Source organism: Homo sapiens, chromosome 6, assembly GCF_000001405.40.
Source record: "Homo sapiens chromosome 6, GRCh38.p14 Primary Assembly".
NCBI lineage: Eukaryota > Metazoa > Chordata > Mammalia > Primates > Hominidae > Homo > Homo sapiens.
This window is the reverse complement of record NC_000006.12, coordinates 143,092,939-143,116,518: the sequence shown is the minus strand read 5'-3', so window position 1 is coordinate 143,116,518 and position 23,580 is coordinate 143,092,939. Positions and strand designations below refer to the sequence as shown.

Below are 23,580 nucleotides of genomic sequence, written 5' to 3'. Positions count from 1 at the left end.
AGTTTTTACATCCTTCGTCACCCCCACTGAATCTATGCTCCATGAGGGCAGGGATTTTTGTATATTTTATTCCCTGCTGAATCCCAGGTACTCAATAAATACTTGCCAAATGGATGAATGAATAACTGGATTTTAACTCTTTTCATTTTCTTGCTTAGAACACAAGGGCCTTCCCTGCCCAACCCATCATTCCACAAGTATGTTTTGAGGCCTGAATATGAACTAAGGTCTTCTGACTGAAAGCCCATTATTTTCCTACCACAGCATGCCAATTAACTGAACTACCCACCACATTCTAAACATCTTAGGGGCACAGTCTGGCTTTATCATTACTTACTTTCACCTCCAAATACCTACCAGTGCATGTCTTACGGGAACAGCACAAATGAATGTTCAATAAGTATAAACAGAAGAAGAATTTCACCCAGAAAAGATGGTAAACACTTCCTGTCTAGATTATGAGCCCTTCGAGGACAAAGATTACCTTTTATTCATTCCTGTATCACCAACTCTTGATTCAGTGTCTGACACAAAGCAGGGGCTAGATGTGCACTAAGTCAAGTCATAAAACTATGTCATGTTAATGCTAACCAGGACCATCAAGTGTGTTGACATTACAGCTGAAAAATGTCATGGATTTCTGCCCTCTCCTCATTCAGGACACAGCCAGTACACCTGTCGGGAACTCTACTACTTTATGAATCTACAGATGCAATAAAGCGAGGAAAGCTGAAGGCTGGCTCTGCAGCAAAAATGATACTCATGGTCAATAAGCCTGTGATCAACTACAGGTGCTTACTATGTGCCAAGACCTTTGCTTGGTGCTTCTCATGCAGAATATTATTTAACTGCCACAAAAGTCCTATAGTATACGTATGATATCACCGTTTTGCAAATTGTGAGTCTGTAACTATGAGAGGTAGAGTGACTTCCTCAAGCTGGTGTTTAATCCTGTATCAGTCAATATAAGAAACAGGCTGCTTAAAGTCAATGCAGTGCTTTTACTTTATCACACAAAAGCTCCTTTTAAATATGAGAAATTATAGGAATTTATTTATCTTCCCTCCCTGGTATAAATAAATACCATGGTATAAGTAATAAATAAATGCAAATATTCTGGCTCTAAAACTTCCAGCCTTCTATTATTTTTGCCACATGCTTTTACATTTCCTTAGTTCTTCTTTAAACATGGCAAGAGAAAGGGGTACTTTCAAATGGCTACAATCTTTCAGGGATGGAATTTGGACATATGAATGAAAATGAAAGCCTTTAAAATATGTATACATTTTGACCAATCATTCTATTTTAGAAATGTATCTTACTTGGTCACAAAGACTTCTGCATAAGAATGTTTAGTTCAGTGGAATTTATGTTATTGCCAATCTGGAAATTGCAAAACTGACCAAAATGACATTATTTAAATCTTAAGAGAAAAGTGGGTTGTTACATATCCATGAGACATCATGGTTTTGAATAATGGTTAGCAACTTGAGAAAATGCTCACGATGTATAATAAAGTATAAAAAACAAGTAAGGCAACAACAAACCCTACTTGGATGCTGACTGGGCACCAGGCTCTGTGCTGGGCACTTTAGTCACCCCTCTCATCTACTCTTCGTAACAACTCCACGAGCCAGGACTCCAGCTATCTCTATCTCACAAATGAAGAAGTAGAGGCACAGAAAAGCATATTACATATAACATAACCTCAAATTTATTAAAACACATAAGAAGAAATAATGATTTAGAAATAAAGCATTTAGCCAGAATACTCCAAATAACTGACAATCATGATACTATAATGGTAGACAGTATGCCATGATACTATGTTCTATTGATCCAGAACCTGCAAGCTGACACCCATTGAATAGTTTCTAAGTTTAACTGACTTATTCAAGTGGAAAAATACATACTTACAACCTGAACGTTTTATTCCAATTGTAATGCACTATGTCTAATCCTTAATAAAATAAAAATAGTGCTGCCCTCATATTGTTCATATTCTTCTTCTTTGCCTGCCAACCACTTCCACCTTGGTGCATTTTTTTCCCATCTATTTTAAAGTGGAATCAGAGATGTTCTTCCATTCATACGTCTGAGAACTTCTTGAAAACATGTAACTAAAACAGCAAGCTAAGGCAGTAAACTCATTAGGTGAAAGGTTCTCGCAGCATTTTCCCTTAGGAATTATTTAGCATTGTTTTAAACTAGTCACACTGGTTTTTTAGGAGAAAAACAAAACCAAAACAAAACCAAGCATTACATATTTCACCTGTACAAGATTTTTGAAAACAGATATGTGTTTTGAAAGCTCAGCTTGAAGATATACTTTTCTACTAACTTTCCAGCCATTCAGGGCCATGAAATGAAAGCAGTTACCTATGTATTTGGGTTATTTGTTAGGTTTGAAATTCTGTTTGTTTAACAGGTTAAGAAAACATTTCCGGCCAGGCGCGGTGGCTCACACCTGTAATCCTAGCACTTTGGGAGGTCGAGGCAGGCGGATCACGAGGTCAGAAGATCAAGACCATCCTGCCTAACACGGTGAAACCCCATCTCTACTAAAAATACAAAAAGTTAGCCGGGCGTGGTGGTGGGTGCCTGTAGTCCCAGCTACTCCGGAAGCTGAGGCAGGAGAATGCCATGAACCCGGGAGGCAGAGCTTGCAGTGAGCCGAGATCACGCCACTGCACTCTAGCCTGGGTGACGGAGGGAGACTCCGTCTCAAAAAAAAAAGAAAACATTTACATAAGATAAACATGGACTAGGTTAAGAAAACATTTACAGTGTTTGTCTGTCCTAAGAAAACTCACCAAACCTAAAAGTCGTTCCAGTAAGTTTCATAGCGTAAGGGACAGCTTATGAATCTGCTTTGGAAAAAAGAAATCTGTAACTTTTTTTTTGTTTTTTTTTTTTGAGATGGAGTCTCTCTCTGTTGCCTAGGCTGGAGTGCAGTGGCGTGATCTCGGCTGACCACAACCTCCGCCTCCTGAGTTCAAGCGATTCACCTGCCTCAGCCTACCAAGTAGCTGGGACTACAGGCGCATGCCACCATGCCCGGCTAATTTTTGTATTTTTAGTAGAGATGGGGTTTCACTATGTTGGCCAGGCTGGTCTCGAACTCCTGACCTCGTGATCCGCCCACCTCAGCCTCCCAAAGTGCCAGGATTTCAGGTGTGAGCCCCCACGCCCCGCCAGAAATCTTTAATAATTTTTTAACATTGTATCTGAAAAAGTAGAATGAATCTTTCAAGGCTTTAGGCTGTTCTTATTACCATAAAGGCAAACGCCTTTTTTCTCTTTTTTTTTTTCTTTTTTGAGACAGGGTCTTTCAGGGTCTTGCTCTTTCGCCCAGGCTGGAGTGCAGTAGTGGCGTGATCCCAGCTCACTGCAGCCTCAACCTCCTAGGCTCAAGCCATCTTCCCACCTCAGTCTCCCAAAGTGCTAGGATCTCAGACGTGAGCCACCATGCCCAGTCAGCAACATTTTTAGACAAAGTCAGGGTGGACTATGATCTCAGTCAGGCTTAGGATTTTGTCAGACAGCTCCTGAGCACACAAAATAAGATGCTTATTTTTTCAAGTCTCAACTAAGTCCTAAAATATGGCTTAATACGTTTACCTCTCCCACCAAGCCATATCATGTTTATTTACATGTTTGGGTCCTATTTGTTAATATTTTATCTCCCATGCAGTTCTCTACATGTGAGGATCAAAAATGCACAGTCTCTGGAGATCAACTGGTGAAATGGGTGATGGGGTTGCCAGGAGTTTTCCTGGAGAGGATATTTACTCTGAGGATTATTTGTCCGTCCATATTTCTCAAACAATCCTTGTATACACTTAAATAGAACTCACTCAGACCCAGAATCAGGTGCTCTATCTTCCATGTTTTAAAAATACCTGTCATCTGGTACTTGTCAAACTGCACGGTAACTATCTTTTGATGTTTCTGTTTTACTTTCTATACTATGAGAGCCTCATAGGCAGGGATAATGTCTTATTCATCTTTGCATCTCTAGAGCCTAACATAGTGCCTATTTCTAAAAGTACCTGCAGAGGGAGGATACAAACGTGAAAAAATGTGTTTTTCGCCTTTGAAAAGTTCAGAGTGAGATAAAGAAACACATATAATGCAATATAATATATTCCAGACTGGTGTGTGCAGGGGAATGAGAAAAGGTTCCCCCTAGAGCATGACATAACCAAGGTAAGTTTTGGAGAATGAGTAAGAAACCACCCACAGAAGAAGTTGTGGATAGAGATGTGACTGTTCTGGGCAGAAGCAGAGTATTTATGAAGGGAAGGCACAGAGTGATGGAAGGAACTGCAGGGGCTCTGGATAACAGGTCAGGCAGGTGAAAAGGGGTAGTGTCAAGAGGAGACTAGAGAAGCAGAAGGAGCTCCCTTATGGCTAGGTTTGTAAAGCCATATTGAAGGTCTTGGCTTTTGTGCTGAAGGAAAAATAGAACCACTGTAGAGTTTTAAATAGAGAAGTAGTACATTTTGGAAAGATCATCTTGAAAGCAGATATGAGATTGGAGGATGACCATATTGAATGGGCAGAGAGACCAGTTAGGAGCCTGTTTTAAAAAGCCAGGTGTAAGGCTATTTGGGAACAGAAAAAAGAGAGAGATATAGAGAAGAGGGTCAAGACTGCAGACATATTAAGGCTATTAAGGAGGAAGACGAGTTGGATGTTTTCACTAGACATGGGGAAACAAAAAAGAGAGAATAGTCAATAACCACTTCCAGGCTGCTGGCCCAGGAGAAAGGGTGGCATTCACCAAGGTGCAGAACATGTTAAGATGTTTCCTGTTCTGACATGTTAAGTTTTAAGTGTCTCTGGGGCACTCAAATGGAGAGGTCCAACAGGTAGTTGGATATACGTGTTTGTAGTGTAGGATATTTCAGGATAAGCTTTCAAAAACGTCAGAAGACTGATTGTCAGGAAGCCACAGAGTGAACGAGTTCCACCAGATTGAGAATTCACAATGAAGAAGCAATGAGTCTGAAGCAGGCCATGTGCAATAACAACATTTGTGGAATGAAGACAGCCTGAGAAAGAGTCAGAGAGGTAGGAAGGAGACCAGGAAAGGAGAATAAATATCAAGAAAGCCGCAAAAGAAGAGTTTTAAGGAGAAGGAATAGTTCAATAATCTCAAATGTCGAAAGAACTTGAAGAAAACTTCTTTACTGAATCTGGCAATTATGAGGTCTTTGGGTCTTAAGGATGAAAACAGTTTTGATGGATGTCAGGAGTCAGGGGCTGGTATGAGAAGTGAATTGGAGCTGAGACACTGGTGTCAGCAAGAAGGAATATTCTTTCCCAAAGCATGATTGGGAAAGAAAAGAAAAACAGAGTAGTAACCAGCAGGAACTCCAAGAGACTTTAACTCTAAAACAGTATGCTGTCACTGACTCACACATGAGTTATTAAATTTCAAAATGTTTCTTATTTAATGGGAAATATAATTGGTGGTAAATCTAAACCATCAATTACCTTGATAATATTTTAATCATTTAATTTATAACTTCATCTCTGGCAACTGGGGATGGTAAATCAAAGATTTAAGAAGGTAAATCCAGGATATAACCTATGTTTAGAATGGTCATTTGCTTTGCATCAATGAATGTACTTCAGATACTTAAAATATGCATTGGTTTATTCATTCAACTATGCGATTACTCAATGCATTAAGTCTGCTTCTCGATATACTCTGTCATTCTTCCCACACACATCTGCTGCCTTTAAGGATATTCCAAAGATTCCATCTGGACAAGACATACTGCATCTCACCTACCTCAAACCAACAACCAAAAAAAACTCCGCACCTCCTCCTCAAGGTTCAAGGGCACTTCCTCTCTTCAGCTTCAAAATAGTTCCTCTATAATGTTTTGTTTAAGGGTGTGACCGTAAAGGAAGATTTTGCTTTTATACAAACTGGAAGCAGCTCTCTACTGAAAAGAGGACACATAACTAGGAATAAAGCCAGTGAACGATGTGCAGTCCTCCACAAAGAAAACCCAAAACTTTACTGACAAGGTGAAAGAAGACTTAAGAAATGGAGGCATCTACTAGGTTCCTGGAAGGTACAATATTGAAAAATGTCAATTCTACTTAAATTGATTCATTATTATCCCAATTAATAATCTAAATCTTTGTGTGTGAAATTTGGCAAGCTGATTCTAAAATTACATGGAAATGCAAAAGCTCAAGAATAAAAAAAATTATATTGAAGAACAAAGTTGGAGAACTTATATTACCAGATATCAAGATTTAATTTACAGTTATAGTCATCGGAATGGTATGGTATCAGTGCAAGGATAGGTAAATAGACCAGTGGGGCAGCACAGAGTCCAGACACAGACCCACACATAAACGGTCAACTGCTATAGGGCAAAGCTGCCACTGGGAAAAAGAATGGATACCCATGTGAGAAAAAATGATCCTTGCCTCCTACCTCACATTATACAAAAAAATTACTCCCAGACAGACCAGAAATGCGAAAGGCAAAATGACAGAGCTTCTAGAAGATAGCAGAGGAGAATATCTTCATGACCTTGGATTGGGTAAATATTTCTGAAAAGGACAAAAAACAACAATGCAATAATAGAATGGATTAATAAGTTAAACTTCATTGAAAGTAAGAACTTCAGTTGATCAAAAGATGTCATAAAGAGGGAAGATAAGCCATAAAGAAAGAAAATATATTTGTCATGTATATAACTGAAAATGAACAAATTTTTTTTAAAACTTGCCTTCTACAAGCCAGAGTAAAAGAAAGACTACCCAGTATTTTTAAACGGCAAAGGACTTTAACACACACGTCATTAAAAAGACCAATTTCAAATGGCAGGTAAGGAAATAAAAATGATTAACAATACTAGTGATCAGAGAAATCCAAATTAAAATCACAACAAAAGATTACTGCATAGCCAATAGAATAGCTAAAATTAAAAAAAATAATAAATCAGAAAAAAACGTTGACACTACAAAGCATTGGTGAGGACACAGGATAACTGGAACTTTTAAACACTGCTGCAGGGAATGTAAATTGTTAAAACCACTTTGGAAAACTGGCAGTCTCCACGAAGCTGAACATATGTGGACTCTATAACCCAGTAAGTCTCTTCCTCGCCAGAAATGCATATCCCTGTGTACCAATGTTACATGTATAAGCACGTTCATAGAAGCATTATTCTTGATAGCTGAAAGTTGGAAACAACACAGAAATGCATCAGCAATAGAATGGAGTATAAATTTTAAAACATACAAAATGGAATCTTGTATAGTAATGAAAAAGAACAAATGCAGTCCTGTATAGTAATGAAAAAGAACACACAACCACAAGAATGAACCTCACAGACGCACACTGAAGAAAAGAATCTAGGGGAAAAAAAAACAGCAACGTAAGCTGCATGATTCCTACAGAATACCATAGGAATTTCTATGGAAATCTGTAGAATTGAAGAATGAGCAGCTATAATCTACAGTGACAGAGGTCAGAATGGTGGTTACCTTTAAGGGGCTAATGACACGGAAGGGATAGAGTAGCTTCTGGGGTATTGGTGATGTTTGATATGTTGATGTGGGTGGTGGTTACACAGATGTGTTTCCTAAAAACTCATTGAGCTGTTCATATAAGACTTCTCCGTATACCTGGTTTGCTTTGAAAATAAAAATATACAAATAAACAGAACACTGTAAGCTGTAGTCAATTCATGTAAGATGTGTGCACTGCTTTGAATATAAACAAATAAACAGGATAATGGCATTCCACAGGAAAACACCCATAGTCCAGGGGTTTTAAAGGCATTTCTAACTATAAACATCTTAGAAAGTTAAATACCTACATGCATCCCACATATATGTGTCTGTTGAAAACTGGCGAAGGCAAGTGTTAATATCCTCACATACAGTTAAAAGTGTAATTTTATACACCAGAGCCAGATTCTGGGCCCCATCCCAGCTGAAGTTGTTAAGTGAGAAATCTCTGAGCTGCAAACTGCCCTTCTGTTTTTTATTCCTAGAAACAGAGGTTAGATCAGGGAAAAGGAAAAGTTAAGGCATTCTATTTCGCTTGTTGTGCTATCAAATAGACACCACAAACATTTGACCATCGTGGTCAGGAGATGTTTTCCAAGTCTTTTCACTTGGTTTTAGGTTTCTCAAGATATTGTCTTACATTGAGTAATTTTTCTTAAATGCTATGTTGCAAGTAAGAAATCTTAAAGAAAAATTTTCTCTTAGTATTTTTAGTAGAGTAAATCTGGAATGATTTTTAAACAGATTTGAGTCTAGTGCTTCTAAATCACACCCGTTACAATGTGCTTATGCAGTAAACAAACAGTAGAGAAAAGTGCTGCAGAGTCGCTTCTGTTACATAGGGTAAGACCTTGCCTATATTCTAAAACTATGTTTTACTTAACTGTCAGTTGAGAGATGCAATCTGGCATCAAAGCTTTGGGTGGCCATTTTGACAGGTCTAAACGTTTAAGCAAAACATATAAGCCAACTTAAAACAACAGTAAATCAAGCAAATCAGTTTCCAGAGAAAGTCTTATGTAAAATCATGCTGTCTGTCATATATTTAACTAGATCAGGAATTTAATAAAGAATTCTTTTTTTCCCTCTGTTAGAAGAAACACAAGAAACCACAGAAAATGGAACACACAAAAGATAAATGAAGTTAAAAATGTTTCCACCTTATCACAGTGGAAGGATATTTTAGTTGATCTCTAAGCTTTCAGAAATGACTTATAACTCGAGGGCCCAGAAAACTATTACAGAATATGTCCCTTCCACCTCTGACCTAGAATTCTTCCCCTCTTTCCTGTCCTGTGTCATCTCATTCCAGTCAGCCTCTTTTCCCTCTGCTTCCCAGACCTTTAGCACAAAGGTTAAAATTCAAGTAAATAGATACTGAGGTTTCCAGATATAGCCAGTTGGCATATTTTTTTTTTGCTTGCAGTTATGAAGGAAGCTTTATTCTAGTTTACTTTTAAGGACCTACATTTTCACTTATAGTTTAAAAATATCTCAGTTCACTCGTATATCACCATAATTTTATACAGCTAGCTTCTACAATCTAGAAGACAGATGTCTGCATCTATGGTAATATGTTTTGGAGACTTTTATCTGTCTAAATAAATTGTCCACTTATATTCCATATTTATTCAGGACATGTCTTCACAATGAGTAGGTATCTTTATATTAAAATATCCTTCATTTGTGTGAAAATTAAGTAATTTCTTTTCTTCTCAAGAAAATCTTAATCAAATTCTTGATACTGCCTATACACATTCTTTTAATGAAGGCTTTCCTAAAACAGTGCTACGTTATAAAAACTTCATTTACCTGTGGATACTATGAAAGTTGTTAGGCTTAACTTTTTAAATACAGTATAATGAGGGTAATTGATGGGACTTAGGGAGACGAAGAACTGATCAAGGTGCTATGGTTTGAATGTGTGTGTCTCTCTAACTTTCATATGTTGCAACTCCACACCCAATGTGAGGGTATTTGAAGATGGAGCTTTGGGAAGTGATTAGTCATGAGGGTAGAGCTCTCATAAATGGTATTAGTGTCCTTATAAAAGAGGCCCGAGAGAGAGCCTTCCTCCCTTCCACTGTCTATGAACTAGGAAGCCATCATTCCTTGTCCTCATCAGACAAGGAATCTGTAAGTACCTTTATCTTGGACTTCCCACCTGAGGGAACTATGAGAAATAAATCTGTTGCTGATAAGCCGTCTAGTCTATGATATTTCCTTATAGCAGCCCAAATAGACTAAGACACAGGGAAGTCACCCCAAACCTAACCCAAGGTCAAGGTTGCTAAACTGAAATGAGTTTGAGAATTGGGAAAACAGTATATATGCTTTCCTACTTGAGAGATAGCTAAATGTTTATTGGCAGAAATCAACATATCTACTTTTTGTATTTGGTAAATATTTTGGGGAGGCCTAAGTGTACCAGGACTGCTGTATGTGATGAGGATTTGGAAATGATCAGGACACAGTCCCTGACCTCAATGAATGTAGAGTGCCCTAGAAGAGACAGCCAAGTAACAGATAACCATGCATTTGTCTGCTAGGGCCGCCATAACAAAGCATCATACACTGGATGATTTAAACAACAGAAATTACTGTCTCACAGTTTTGGGGGCCAGAAGTCTGAAATCAAGATGTCGGCAGGATGGGCTGTGAGGGAGAACCTGTTCCATATCTTTTCTCTGGTGGTTTGCTGGCAACCTTCCGTGTTCCTTGGCTTGTAGAAGCATCACTCCCATCTCTGCCGTCATGCTCACATGGTGTTCTCCCTGTGTGCATGCCTGTTTCCATATTTCCCCTTTTTATAAGAATACCAGTCACATCAGATTCAGGGCCTGCCCTACTCCAGGATGACCTCACCTAAACTTCATTAATTACATCGAAATGAGCTGATTTCCAAATAAGGTTGCATTCCAAAGTACTGAGGTTAGGAACTCAACATGAATTTTAGAGGGACACAATTCAATCTTTAACAATTCAGAAAGGCAATGAGAACAGAGGGGAAAAGCACACGAGCTCACTAGAACCATTCACCAGACCTTTGGGCATCCTCGTGGAAAAGCCACCATTTCCATAATGGCCTCCATTCCTACCATCCATTTCCAAAAGTCAGTCCCCTGATTCTGCCATCTGCCCATTGTGGAAGTTGGCTGCCTGCACAGCTAAAACCTCAAGGAACATGTACTACTACCACTGAATGCATATGACAGCTGTGTGAGGGGCCTGACCTTGTTCTTAACTTTCAAAGCAAAGCCCCATGGCAGAACCCAGACTACTCAAAAGTGTCCAAAAGACAAGTTAGAGAACTCAGCAATACATCCCCTAACCTAAAACGATCCTTCGCTTATATTGCCAATTCAAGGATAGGACTGTGCTTGTGGACACATTTTTCTGGAGCTGTGGGAGAAATATTGGTATCATTCGGCAGTTTTTTCTCAGTAAAACCCACTCTCCATAGTGTTTATAGTCAGCTTGAGAAAAGCATTCCAGCTATGATACTCCTGGACAAATATTTTGGACTTAAGGATGTGAGCAATATTATCATTACAATGCACAACAGATTTCTGCGCTTCCTGGTGTGTGAAGGCCTGTGCCCTACTGGCTCACTCTCATGGGTTCCTCAGCAACCTCATCTTGAACACTACTCACACCCGCTTCTGAGGGCCATGCAGGGTCTTCCTTTTGCTCTCACAAGGCTGTTTCAGTGTATCTGGCCGTGGTGGTGTAATGTACGTTCTCTCAGTCTTTGATTTATCTGGCTCTTGTGGCATGGGATGCTCCATTAACCATCTGTCTTACCCTGGCTTGACCACACCCTCACTACTATGCTATGATCTCACTGGTCTGTGCCATGTTGCCCTTATTTTTATTCAAAATTTTATCAAAATGTAGAAATGCAGCAATGAGCTGGGAGGAATCATGAGATCTTACCTTACCTGAGCTTAACTGTTAATATGCCATTTTATGCCCAGCATAGACAAGCCTCACCTTTGGAGTTCAATTCGAGGCCTACTAGCTATATCTCTTGCACACATTCAGAATGTTCTTTTTTTTTTTTTCTTTTTTTGAGACACGGTCTTGCTCTGTAACCCAGGCTGGAGTGCAGTGGCAGCATCACATCAAAGTCTTGAACTCCTAGGCTCAAGCAATCCTCCTGCCTCAGCCTCCCAAGTAGCTAGGATATCAGGCGCACATCACCATGCTCAGCTAATTTTTTATTTTTTATTTTTGTAGAGATGAAGCTTTCTGTGTTGCTCAGGCAGGTCTTGAACTCCTGGCCTCAAGCAGTCCTCCCTGCCTCGGCCTCCCAAAGTACTGGGATTATAGCCATAAGCCCTACACTCAGGGTATTCTATAGTTTCTATGTTTTCTCTGATCCAGCACTAAAACATAAAAACACAAACAGAAGAGCTCACACCTGGGAAAGGCTAAGAGGTCTTTGGTGAACAAATGTCACATACTCAAAGGTCTTTGGAACTACAAAATGCCCACTTGGGACAAACAACCACTATATTTCTGCACAGATGGCATCTTTAGCCTGGAATGAGGGACTCCCATGGAGAAAGGAATCCCTTCACTATAGCAAGGTCAGAAGGAAGCTTCACCCTCATAATTAAAAGAGAGGCAGAGTCTTTCATTTACTTCTGTGAAGGGATGAGAGGAATATTAGGTAAAGACTTTTATGTAATAGGCTCTAAGCACGGTAACTTTTCAATGTTTCTATTTTTAATTGTAGCATCATTTCTATTTCCACAGAATGGTTGGCTGCAAGATTCACTCTTAAATTAAAAAGGTCCCAAAGAGGGACTAGTAAGGCAACAAAGGGGACTTTCTCAGAAACCAGTATAGACCAACCCTCACCTCTAAATTTGCTGATCACATGGCTTCTGGGGAACAAGTCTGTGGTTGATTAAAATAAAAACAGAAATCTCTTCCCATCATCCCCACCACTATTGTCACCACCAGCAGCAACAGCAATCAGAAACATTGTCAATTCCTTCCATTTAGGGCAGAAAATGAAGGCAAATCATTTTGAGTAGAGTACTTTTCATTCACTTACTAATATGAATCCTGGCCAGTGACCAAACCTCTTCAAAGGCCCAGGTAATGCTCCTTTAAGTGAACAATTTTGTGTTAGAACTTATCAGGAAGAAGGATGTTCAGTAGCTCATTTTAGAAAACTTCTATCCCAGCACTTTGGGAGGCCGAGGCGGGCGGATCACGAGGTCAGGAGATCGAGACCATCCCGGCTAAAATGGTGAAACCCCGTCTCTACTAAAAATACAAAAAATTAGCCGGGCGTAGTGGCGGGCGCCTGTAGTCCCAGCTACTCGGGAGGCTGAGGCAGGAGAATGGCGTGAACCCGGGAGGCGGAGCTTGCAGTGAGCCGAGATCCCGCCACTGCACTCCAGCCTGGGCGACAGAGCGAGACTCCGTCTCAAAAAAAAAAAAAAAAAAAAAAAAGAAAACTTCTGTATTTATCACATCTACTTTGTCAATGCTATAAATGACCTCAAAGTGCTAAAACTTTGTACTTCTAAATACAGCCATTGACTTCCCCAGGGCAAAGGCAGAATGTATATATACATTCCACAAAGCAGTGTGGCTCCTAATGTGGGTGGACTTAATTTAGCTAATCAATGTTACCTTAGAATCCAACAATAATTGGAAGGGGTAGAGTTTTTAATCATTTGTAATATCCTGTACATGCCTCTTTCACTATACTTCTATGCTGTTGATTGGGCCTGACACCCCCATTACATCACAATATTTTTGAAGGCAGGAGCTGTGTGTTACTTGTCATTGTATTACTAAAACTAGCAGAGTGGCACACTGGTATCCAGAAAGTGTTTATCAAATAAATAAGTCAACTAATAAAAATGACTGTTCCTTCATTGCCTTTGTTCTGGTTTTAAATGTGTAATTTAGTGGTACTTTCTGGAAGAACAGATTCTCTAGTAATGATTGTACTCTAATATCCATTTCCTAAGATATATATGTACACTAGATTTTCACCTAATGTAAATCTTCAGGATTCTGGGATAAAACAAACAAAAAAATAAAGTAAAAATCCATTGTATGGAGTTTTATTTGCTTCTTTTAGTTTGCCTTTGGCTTGACATGGAAATACATGACTATTTGGCTTGACATGGAAATGCATGACTATTTTGACATGTCTACATGTGTCTCTGCTCATAACTAACTTTTTAATTTTATTAAGTCAGTTATCTGTTAACCAAAACAAAATGTAAAGGAGTAGAGAGGGGATGAAAAAACAATATCAACCACTATTATTTTATCTAGAATACTGTTACATGTTAAATGCAATGATAGACAATTAACATAATCTCCCCTGGGATATGTTCTATGACCCTATATATATTATATTATATATATTTATATAACATTATCTTTTATATACTATATTATATATTTTACATATTATATTATATATTATGTATCATATTATATATTTTTATATATATTATATTTTATATATATATATATATCCTAAGAGGCCCTGAACAATGCATTTCCATTTAATATCTCATGAAACGTTTTAAGTCCTTCCCTTCCGGCTGAAAATATTTTCTCGGACATTAATTGAGGAGTCACAATAGGTGTTTTTTTTGTTTGTTTTTTAAGAATAAAAACCTTCAGTCTTATAAACTTAATTGTGAGAAAACATGGAACTAATTAGATGTGCCAAAAGAGGAAAATATTAGCACCACATATCCACAAGATTGTGTTCAAATGTAAACAAAGAATAAAGTCATATAAAATATTATCAATATAGTGAATAATATGTCATAAAGCAAGCTATAAAATATTTATATTTTAAGTTCTCTAGGGATGAACATATTCTACAACAGCAAAAAACATCACTTTACTCTTACACATTTTCAGGAATATATTAATACTGTAGGAGACTGAATAGCATAGGCTAGGTCTGTTTCCCAAACTTTGCTAACACATTGGAATAACCTGGGAAATCTTTGAAAAATACTGATGCCAATGTCTACCACTAGAGATTCTTATTTAATTGATATAAAGGGAAACTTGGGCATTAGAAATTGTAAAAACTCCCCAAGTGATTGTTTTTGTTTGTTTTCTTGTTTTTTAGAGTAGAAGTTTTTATTATTATTATTAATTTCTTATTTCCATTGGTTTTGGGGGAACAGGTGGCATTTCGTTACATGAATAAGTTCTTTAATGGTGATTTGTGAGATTTTGGTGCACCCATAACCTGAGCAGTATATACTGAACCCAATTTCTAGTCTTTTATCCCTCACCCACTTCCTACCCTTTCCCCCTAAGTCTCCAAAGTCCAACACAATAGGCAGTTTCTACGGTGTCACACCTGACAAACCACTCTGGATTCCGTCTTCCCAGTTTTCAGAGCTCTATCCCTCATACAGTCCTCTAAGAGTCTCCAGTCTCCTCCCCTTCATCTCTACCTGCTCAGAGCCACCATTCACTGAAGGAATCTAGACCCTTAATCCTATCTTCCTCTCCTTGTCTATTCCAACTTATCCCTCTTTCCCCCAACCAATAATTCCTTGGAAATTCTTCTAAAATGGTGGAAGAAAAACAAAGTGATTACTTAATTAGTGTAATTTACACAATGTTGTGAATGTTGATGTGGATCATCCTTGCAGGCTACTCATACTGGAATTGATGGACTGTGCACTCCAGGATATTTTCCTGCATTGGTCTCAGTGGTCTCCGAGATGCTACTATATGCGCCACCTCATTACCTCATTTTCTCTCCTTATTCACCTAAAACAGACTCTTCAACAATGAAAGCCAGCAACCTGACATCTCACTTTAATAAACATTACCTACACTGGTTATTTAAAGCATCAGTAAGCAAAAAAAATTATATGAAAAATAACCTCTCAGGCATGCATAAAAAGATGACATGAAATAAAACTTGAAAATTTTATAAGAGTGAGCTTAAATTAATTATATAAGAGAATAGGCTGGGCACGGTGGCTCAGGCCTGTAATCCCAGCACTTTGGGAGGCCGAGGCGGGTGGATCACTTGAGGTCAGGAGTTTGAGACCAGCCTGGCCAACATGGTGAAACCCCATCTCTCCTAAAAATACAAAAATTAGCCGGGTGTAGTGGTGAGTGGCTGTAATCCCAGCTCCTCAGGAGGCTGAGGCAGGAGAATCGCTTGAACCTGGAGGCATAGGTTGCAGTGAGTGGAGATAGCACCACTGCACTCTAGCCTGGGCAACAGAGCAAGACTTCATCTCAAAAAAAAAAAAAGAGAATAAACTTTAAGTATGACTATATTACTATCTTCTCTCCATTAGCATCTTACGCAATCTTTACAGAGGCTTGCAATGTATATATTGCTTGCTTTTTAAAATAAAGAGAATAAGGACATCAGAAGATTAAACTTAGTAAGCTCTAACTAACACATTTTCATAAAAATGACTCCTATTATTTCTTAAAATAAGTGAATGCTTTTTAATTTTGTGGATTAAAGCTATGGACAAATATCAGTTCCTTCTTTTTTTCTGCTTTCTTTGTAAGAGTATTATTTTTAGCATTTTTCTATCCAAAACACATTAAGACAAAATCGTGAAATCAAAAGAATATTTTTAATGAGAACAAAACCTCTCCCATCTCTGAAATCAAAGGAAACAACCTAGGTCAATGAGCCACACAGTTTTCCAAGAGCAAAGGGAAGCCCTCTTCATGTAAATCTTACGGTTCAGAGGATCCATTTGGCAGTAAGAATAGAGTAGAAACACTGACATTGGAAGAATAGAAAGTACCAGCACAAGCAGGGCCAAAAACCAAGCCAGTGCTGTCAGTGGGTGGCATCAGGACCCACGGGTTATATCCATACATGCTGAAATCAACAATGCTGATGGAAACTATAGAAAAGGTAAATATATTCTAAAGTCAGCATGGCACCACTGGCAAGCAAACAAAACCGTACTTGAATGAAATTCAACTGTGGCTGAATTTTCTTATAAACCGCTGGCCACAGGTCTGCCATTGACCCTTGTGTTTAGGTTTGGCACTGAGCCTCCCAAACAACAAAGCAGGTGAAATTCTACAAATACACACTTCTAATAAATCATTCTGTCAGTTAGACAGTAACATTTACATATCATCCTTCCAATTCCTAATTGGCTAATCAGTGACAAGACCAAATTACATAGTACTGAAGGCAATAAAAAACATAAGCATGTAAATGATATCACAATGGTCCATTGTTCTGCCAAGCTTACCCCACTTAAACACACTATTTCTATTTGGATAAAGAAAGCTTTCATAATGAAACCACTTTTATGAAGCCCCTAATCAAGCAAAACTAACCAACACAATATTTTGTTTAGGAGTATATACTACTAAAAAAGGAGGAGGATATAAACACAAAATTCAGGATGGCAGCTACTTCAGGGCAGGAGGCAAAATTACAGTCTGGGAAAATAACATGATATGGAAAACAGCAGTAGAGGTAAAATTATCTTTATAATTAGCTTTAAAAACTTATGCACATATCATGCATACTATTTTATGTTGATTATTTATTCCACGGTTAACTTTTTAATAATCCCTGTCTTGCTTAGAATATGGTGTGCTCTAGGGAACAGAGCATAGCAAGTTTGGCTAATGCAGACAGAGTATCTACATTGTTAGTTAGAAACTCATTTGAAAGCTCTTTGATCTTTACAATATTTCTGGCTGAAAAGTTTATGAAGCTTTCTGCAGTAGTAGCAGCAAATAAAAAGAGCTGCTGATATTTACTACTTTTTAGTCAAAGAGAAATGTGGCCATTTTTGGTGGAATCGAAAAATATTATATGGTTATTATCCTAAATGGTAAGTGAAAACTGATGGTCTTTTTAAATCAAAAACTCTTCACTGAAATGTTTCCAAGATCTGAAGTTAAAGTTAAAATTATTATTTTTTGAGTTATGCACTTTAGTCAATATGAAGATGGTTCTCTGATCTTTGGCAATTTCTCAAACAAAAGAATATTAGCTGTTCATTTTCATCATGTAATTAGTATAGCAGCTACCCAGATAGACTGAAACTTTCAAGAGCTAAATACAGCTACCAAACGGTTTACATTTTTTAGTCCAATTCAAATAAATGAGATACCCATGGGAAAAAAATGCACAGAAGATGCTAACAAAGGTCCAATTAATCCATAAGAACAACATACCCCGGAGTTGTACAACACAAAAGTCTTGGATGATGGGGTGCCATTTATTTAGATAGAGAATAAGGGAGTAGAAGCAGGTTTGGGAGGTAAAATCAAGAAAAGTTTTTTAACATAAGTTTGAAAAGCAGGTGGTTAGATACAAGAATATAGAGCTCAAGAGAGACTGGGGCTCAAAATATAAATTTGGGGGACCAACATCAGATAGAATGTATTTAAAGCCACCATAATGCTAGTTGAGTTCCCCAAGGTAGTGAATGTAGACTATAAGGGGAAGATGGTCTAGAACTGATTTCTCAGGAATTCAACATTGAGAGGTTAAGAAGAGGAAGAGGAACCAGTAAGGGAGGCTAAGAAGAAACAGAAAATAGCCAGAATGGTCAGAAGAAAGGTAAGAGTGTCACTTCCCAGAATCCAAGTTTTAAGAAAATCCTTCAAGAAAAAGAAGGTTATTTACTAGGCTAGTCATTCCTGTGAGTTATGTAAGTAAAAAATCAGAATTAGCCACTGTATGTGTTGACGCAGTGGTTACTGATGACCTTGATTAGACTTCCTTCACTGGGGCAGAGTGTGTTTCAGAGAGAATGGAGGAAGAGGAAGTGAAAACCAGAAGTGTAGACTTCTTCCAAGGAGTTTTGCTGAAAATAGAACCAGAAAAATAGAGTGACACTAGGAGATTTAAGACAAAGACAAATTTTATTTTGTCTTGTTTCGTGTAAGATGAGAGATGATAGCACACTATGTTTGTGGACTGATGGAAATGAAGCAATTGAAATGGAAAACTGTAACACAGGAGGGAGGAGAGATACTCTGAGTAATAAAATGCTCGAGTAGGTATGAGGTTATAGATTCCAAGGTATACATGGAAGAGTTGTCCTTAGAAGCACAGACACTTCTTCTACTGCAATAGGAGAGAAAGTATAGTAGAGTTTCAAGTGGAGGTGGTTTGAGAAATTTGATGATGGGAGAATGTAGAAGCTTCTTCCGATTGCTTTTGTTGTCTTATACTGAAACAAGCAGCAAGGTCACCATGCCCTTTGGCTAATATGAAGATTGCTCTCTGAGTGAAAGAGACAGCTGAGTGAGAGGATTAGAGAGGGATGCCCAAGATTTGAGGATAGAGGAAAACAGGTGAAAGAGGCACTGTGAGAATCGAAGATGAAACTGCCTAGGTAAGTGTAGTAGCTGGTTGGTCAGCACAGTACGGAGCGCTCATTGGATATTTGTGGTTATAAACATCAAGCAAGATCACACGGGAGGCTTCTGTGATTTTCTTCAATCATTCTTAGCTGCTAGTGTACAGGCATGAGTAGACAAGTAGTTGAGTTTAATCCGGATTATAGATTTTTCAAATGAGTAAGATTGAAGGTAAACAGGATATGATGAGGGTATGCTGGGGGTGTGCTTATAAGGTTGGGCCATGCACTCTAAGCCACTAAGAAAAATAATGAGGAAATGAGGGGGTATAGGATTGGGAAAGGTGATAAGGTCTAAATTTTTTGCTACAGCAGAATGTCTGAGAAATTCTCCCACTACAAAGTAACAGAGCAAGCCCCACTTCATCAAAAAGCAAGGGAGATTCTATCTGATAGGCATTCTCTTAGGAAAAAAAAAAACAAAAAACTTCACTTTTCCTTTACAATTTAAGTCTGCTGTTACAGGGCTATTCCCTTTCTATTTGTGCCTAAGGTCACTAATGGCAATTTTTTAAATATCAAATTAGGTCATATAATAATGGTTTTCTGTGGTAACCAGATATTGGTTCACATATGTTGATTACAGTCAAGCTATGAGTTTAATTTGTGCTAATATATAGAAAAATTAAATGTATAAGATGGAAAAAATCATTTTAAAATTATATGCTAGGTTGACTTTCAATAAAAATGTAAAGTAGGAATAAGGCAATTGCAATTGTATTACAGTATCAATGACACAGTCCTATTAACCTCTGACTTATATTTGATAGAGATCCATAACTGGATTGAAAGATATTCCTTCTTTTAAAATCATTTTTTCAAAGACAGAAGCGTCATTAAGAAACTATCAATTATTAATATATACTTATCTATTGGCCATCCATATCAGCATGACATTCTGATACTGTACCCATAAATGAAATCTCAGGGGAATTCCCACAGTGAGCTATTAAGCATAAGTCTATTTACAGTGACAATAATACAACACTCTTCATCTTCTCTTTTTGATTCTGCTATTTAAAACCGCAATTTAAGAGCAAGAAGAGAAGCCATCTGACTGGGTGAGGTCTTTAAAATAACTTAGTCACTCTCATGCTAGATAGGCCTAAATTAGACTGCAATTTACCTTTGAAACTGACCAATGATAAAGCATATTAAAATTTCAGAAGAGATACCTTAGCCAGCTTATCAATTTATATTCATTCATGTAAACAGCAATGAAGGCAGGAAAAGCCCATATTCAGATCAGTACTTTCAGGTGCTAATTAACAAATAATTCTTAAGTACTCATTAAAGTAGCATTTCTGTAGGAAATATCTGGCCAGATTATTTCTCTGTAACTTTAACCAGGAAAACAGCATTAAAAAGTATCTAGGGCCGGGCGTGGTGGCTCACGCCTGTAATCCCAGCACTTTGGCAGGCCAAAGCAGGCAAATTCCAAGGTCAGGAGATCGAGACCACCCTGGCTAATATGGTGAAACCCTGTCTCTACTAAAAATACAAAAAATTACCCGGGCATGGTGGCACACGCCTGTAGTCCCAGCTACTCGGGAGGCTGAGGCAGGAGAATAGCTTGAACACAGGAGGCAGAGGTTGCAGTGAGCCGAGATCGTGCCACTGCACTCCAGCCTGGTGACAGAGTGAGACTCCATCTCAAAAAAAAAAAAAAAAAAAAAAAAGATAAAGTAGCTGTAATTAAAACCACACTAACTCAGCTCAATTTTTGACCAATAGTCTGCAAATTAGTGACATTTTAGTTTTATATCATTTCTACTTCATTGTTGAATTTTTTATTTTAATTCCTTTCTTGGCTTGTTCAATTAAAATGCAGTAATAAAGGGATGAAAAAACAAGATGAGGTATATGCATAGTATGTTCTGAAAACTTACATAACTGATAATATATTTTAATTATCTTAGGAAGATAACTTGGTCAGGTATAAAATTTTTAGAAGACAATTTTTGCCTCAAAATTCTTTAGGTGTTGCTCTGTTACTCTCTTTGACTCAGAGTCTAAATAATACATAATAAATTTAGATGATTCAAAAAACTGTAATTTTTGCTCCTTACTAGGTAATTTTCTGGAGTGCTCTTTGTGTATGTTTTATTTGGTTTTTCTTGCATGGCTACTTATATGATAGCTGATCATTATTTTAAACCTCAAACTTTGCCAGGATGAGTCCAGCTAAATGTCATTTCTTATGTGTTTTGCCTGAAAGACAATTAACCTTTCAATTCATACAGTAGTCTTTTAATTTTTTTTGCTTCCTGCACTAGTAATTTTCTTCAATTTTGTTTTATTATTTTTTTCTAATTACTATAGTTTATTATTCAGGAATAATCAATAATTGTTACTGAAGTTCCATTCTCTTTACCTCACGGTTTCTCTTTCATTATTTTCTTTTTCCTTTTCTTCTAAATTCTGAAAACATTTCTTTAGCTTATTCTCCATCACACTGATCTGGTTTCCCACAGTATCAATTTTACCTTTTACTGCCCCCATTGTGGATGTTAATTTTGCTATTGCATTTCCTTTTTTGTTTTTGCCATTGCATTTTTAGAGTCTTGCAACTAACCTCATTTCATCCACTCCCCTTTTCAACTCATCCTGTTGCCTTTTCATTTCTCAATTCTCAACTCATGGCATTGTGCTCTGTTTCACTGAGACTACACCTTTTTCAATATAGTGAGGATTCTGAACAGTTTTCTAAACTTTTTTGTTTCCTATTGTAAATAATTTTCACTGGTGTTCTTTCGAGTTTTCAGGATGATATATATTTCCTTTGTTCTACAATAATTTTCAATGGTTGCATAAAGTTGTTTTTTTTTTCTATTTGATCAACCTGGAGCAAGGAAATATTTGTCTAATGCTAGTATTAATATTTTTCAATAGATAGGATACGGAGACTTATCTAGGGGTCACTTTTTTACTTGGGTGCTATTCTAGTCCCAGATCTATGGTTGAAAATGTTTGTATGTACAATTCTAGCTCAATTTAGTAAAATAGTGCTTTGTAGGCCTCCATGCAACAAACCTCAGCTCTATTGAGAAGGTATTTTCCCCTACTCACCGGCTGGTTCTCTCACTCCGAAGCAATGGAGTACATAAAATAGAAACTACAGGCCTCAGTGTACACTGCTGCTAACTCTTACCATTAGCAACAACCTACAACACTTTATTTGTGTATATTACATCTCCCAGGATGTAACGTACTTCTGTTAGTGCTTTTACTACTTCTTCCTACCCATTTTCTAGGTTTCTGCCACCAATTTGGCAACACATTGGCTGCCTCCCAGATCTACCACCCTGAAATGAAAAGAAGCCTTTCGAGATGCTTATTATCTCTGAGTCAAACGGAAAAGAATCTTATGGACGCCACCTCAGATTTTAGACCAGCAGATATGGGGGGACATCAATCACATAGAGGCACACCTCATTTTACCGCACTCAACTCACAGATGGGTAGTTTTGTTTTGTTTTTAACAAATTAAAGGTTTTGTGGCAACCCTGCATCAAGCAAGGGTATCAGTGCCATTTTTCCAACAGCATATGCTTACTTCCTGTCTCTCTGTCCCATTTTGGTAATCCTTGCAATATTTCAAATTTTTCATTATTATTATATCTGTTATGGTGATCTATGATCAGCAATCCTTGATCTTACTATTATAATTGTTTTGGGGCACCTCAAACCTCACCCATAGAAGATGGCAAGTGCAATCCATACATGTTGTGTGTGTTTTGACTGCTCCACCAACCGGCTATTCCCCCATTTTTCTCCTTCTCTTCAGGCCTCCCTATTTCCCAAGATTAAATAATATTGAAATTGGGCCTATTAATATCCCTACAATGGCCTCTAAGTGATCAAGGGAAAAGAAGAGTTGCACATCTCTCACTTTAAAGCAAAAGCTAGAAATGATTAAGCCTGGTGAGGAAACCAGACATGTCAGAAACCTAGACAGGCCAAAAACTAGGCCTCTTGTGCTAAACAGTTACCCAAGTTGTGAATGCAAAGGAAAAGTTATTGAAAGAAATTAAAAGTACTACTCCAGTGAACACTGAAATGATAAAAAAGAAAACAGCCTTATTGCTGACACGGAGAAAGTTTGAGTGATCTGGAGAGAAGATCAAACCAGACACAACATTCCCTTAAGCCAAAACCTAATCCAGAGCAAGGTCCTAACTCTCTTCAATTCTATGAGGGCTGAGAGGGATGAGGAAGCTGAAGAAGAAAAGTTGGAAGCTAGCAGAGGTCGATTCATGAGGTTTAAGGAAAAAAGCTGTCTTCATAACATAAACTGCAAGGTGAAGCAGCAAGTGCTGAAGTAGAAGTTGCAGCAAGTTATACAGAAGATCCAACTAAGATCATTGCTGAAGATGACTGCAATAAACAACAGATTTTCAATGTAGACAAAACAACCTTCTATTAGAAGAAGATGCCATCTAGGACTCTCACAGCTAGAAATGAGAAGTCAATGCCTGGCTTCAAAGTGATTTTTTTGTGAGGGGAGGGATGATTGTTTTGTTTTTTTCAGAGACAAGAGTCTCACTGTGTCACCCAGGCTAGAGTGCAGTGGTGCAATCACAGCTCACTGCAGCCTTGAATTCCTGGGCTCAAGCAATGCTCCCACCTCAGCCTCCTGAGT

The 23,580-nt window shown here is 37.9% G+C and overlaps 1 protein-coding gene and 1 long non-coding RNA gene across 23 annotated transcripts in view, besides 1 other annotated feature; one reads left to right on the top strand and one right to left on the bottom strand.

The window, feature by feature from the left end:
* LOC124901416 (uncharacterized) overlaps window positions 1-1,128 on the top strand; it is a 49,698-nt gene extending 48,570 nt beyond the window's left edge. Inside the window, exon 4 of the long non-coding RNA XR_007059794.1 lies at window positions 660-1,128. This is a non-coding gene — a long non-coding RNA (uncharacterized LOC124901416). The remainder of the gene's footprint in view (window positions 1-659) is intronic.
* Window positions 1-23,580, bottom strand: part of AIG1 (androgen induced 1) — a 284,671-nt gene that overhangs the window by 227,365 nt on the left and 33,726 nt on the right. For 2 of the 22 annotated variants that reach the window (NM_001366344.1, NM_001366356.2), the window contains exon 2: window positions 20,450-20,590. The exons of the other annotated variants lie outside the window; for them this stretch is intronic. In NM_001366344.1, coding sequence (NP_001353273.1) covers window positions 20,450-20,590 — 141 coding nt within the window. The remainder of the gene's footprint in view (window positions 1-20,449; window positions 20,591-23,580) is intronic. 22 annotated transcript variants of the gene reach the window in all.
* Window positions 4,341-4,430: an enhancer, noted in NCBI's record as "active region_25194". NCBI's record gives its function as "activates an Ori minimal core promoter by ATAC-STARR-seq in GM12878 lymphoblastoid cells {active_cell/tissue: GM12878}" and the evidence as "EXISTENCE:reporter gene assay evidence [ECO:0000049][PMID:35858748]".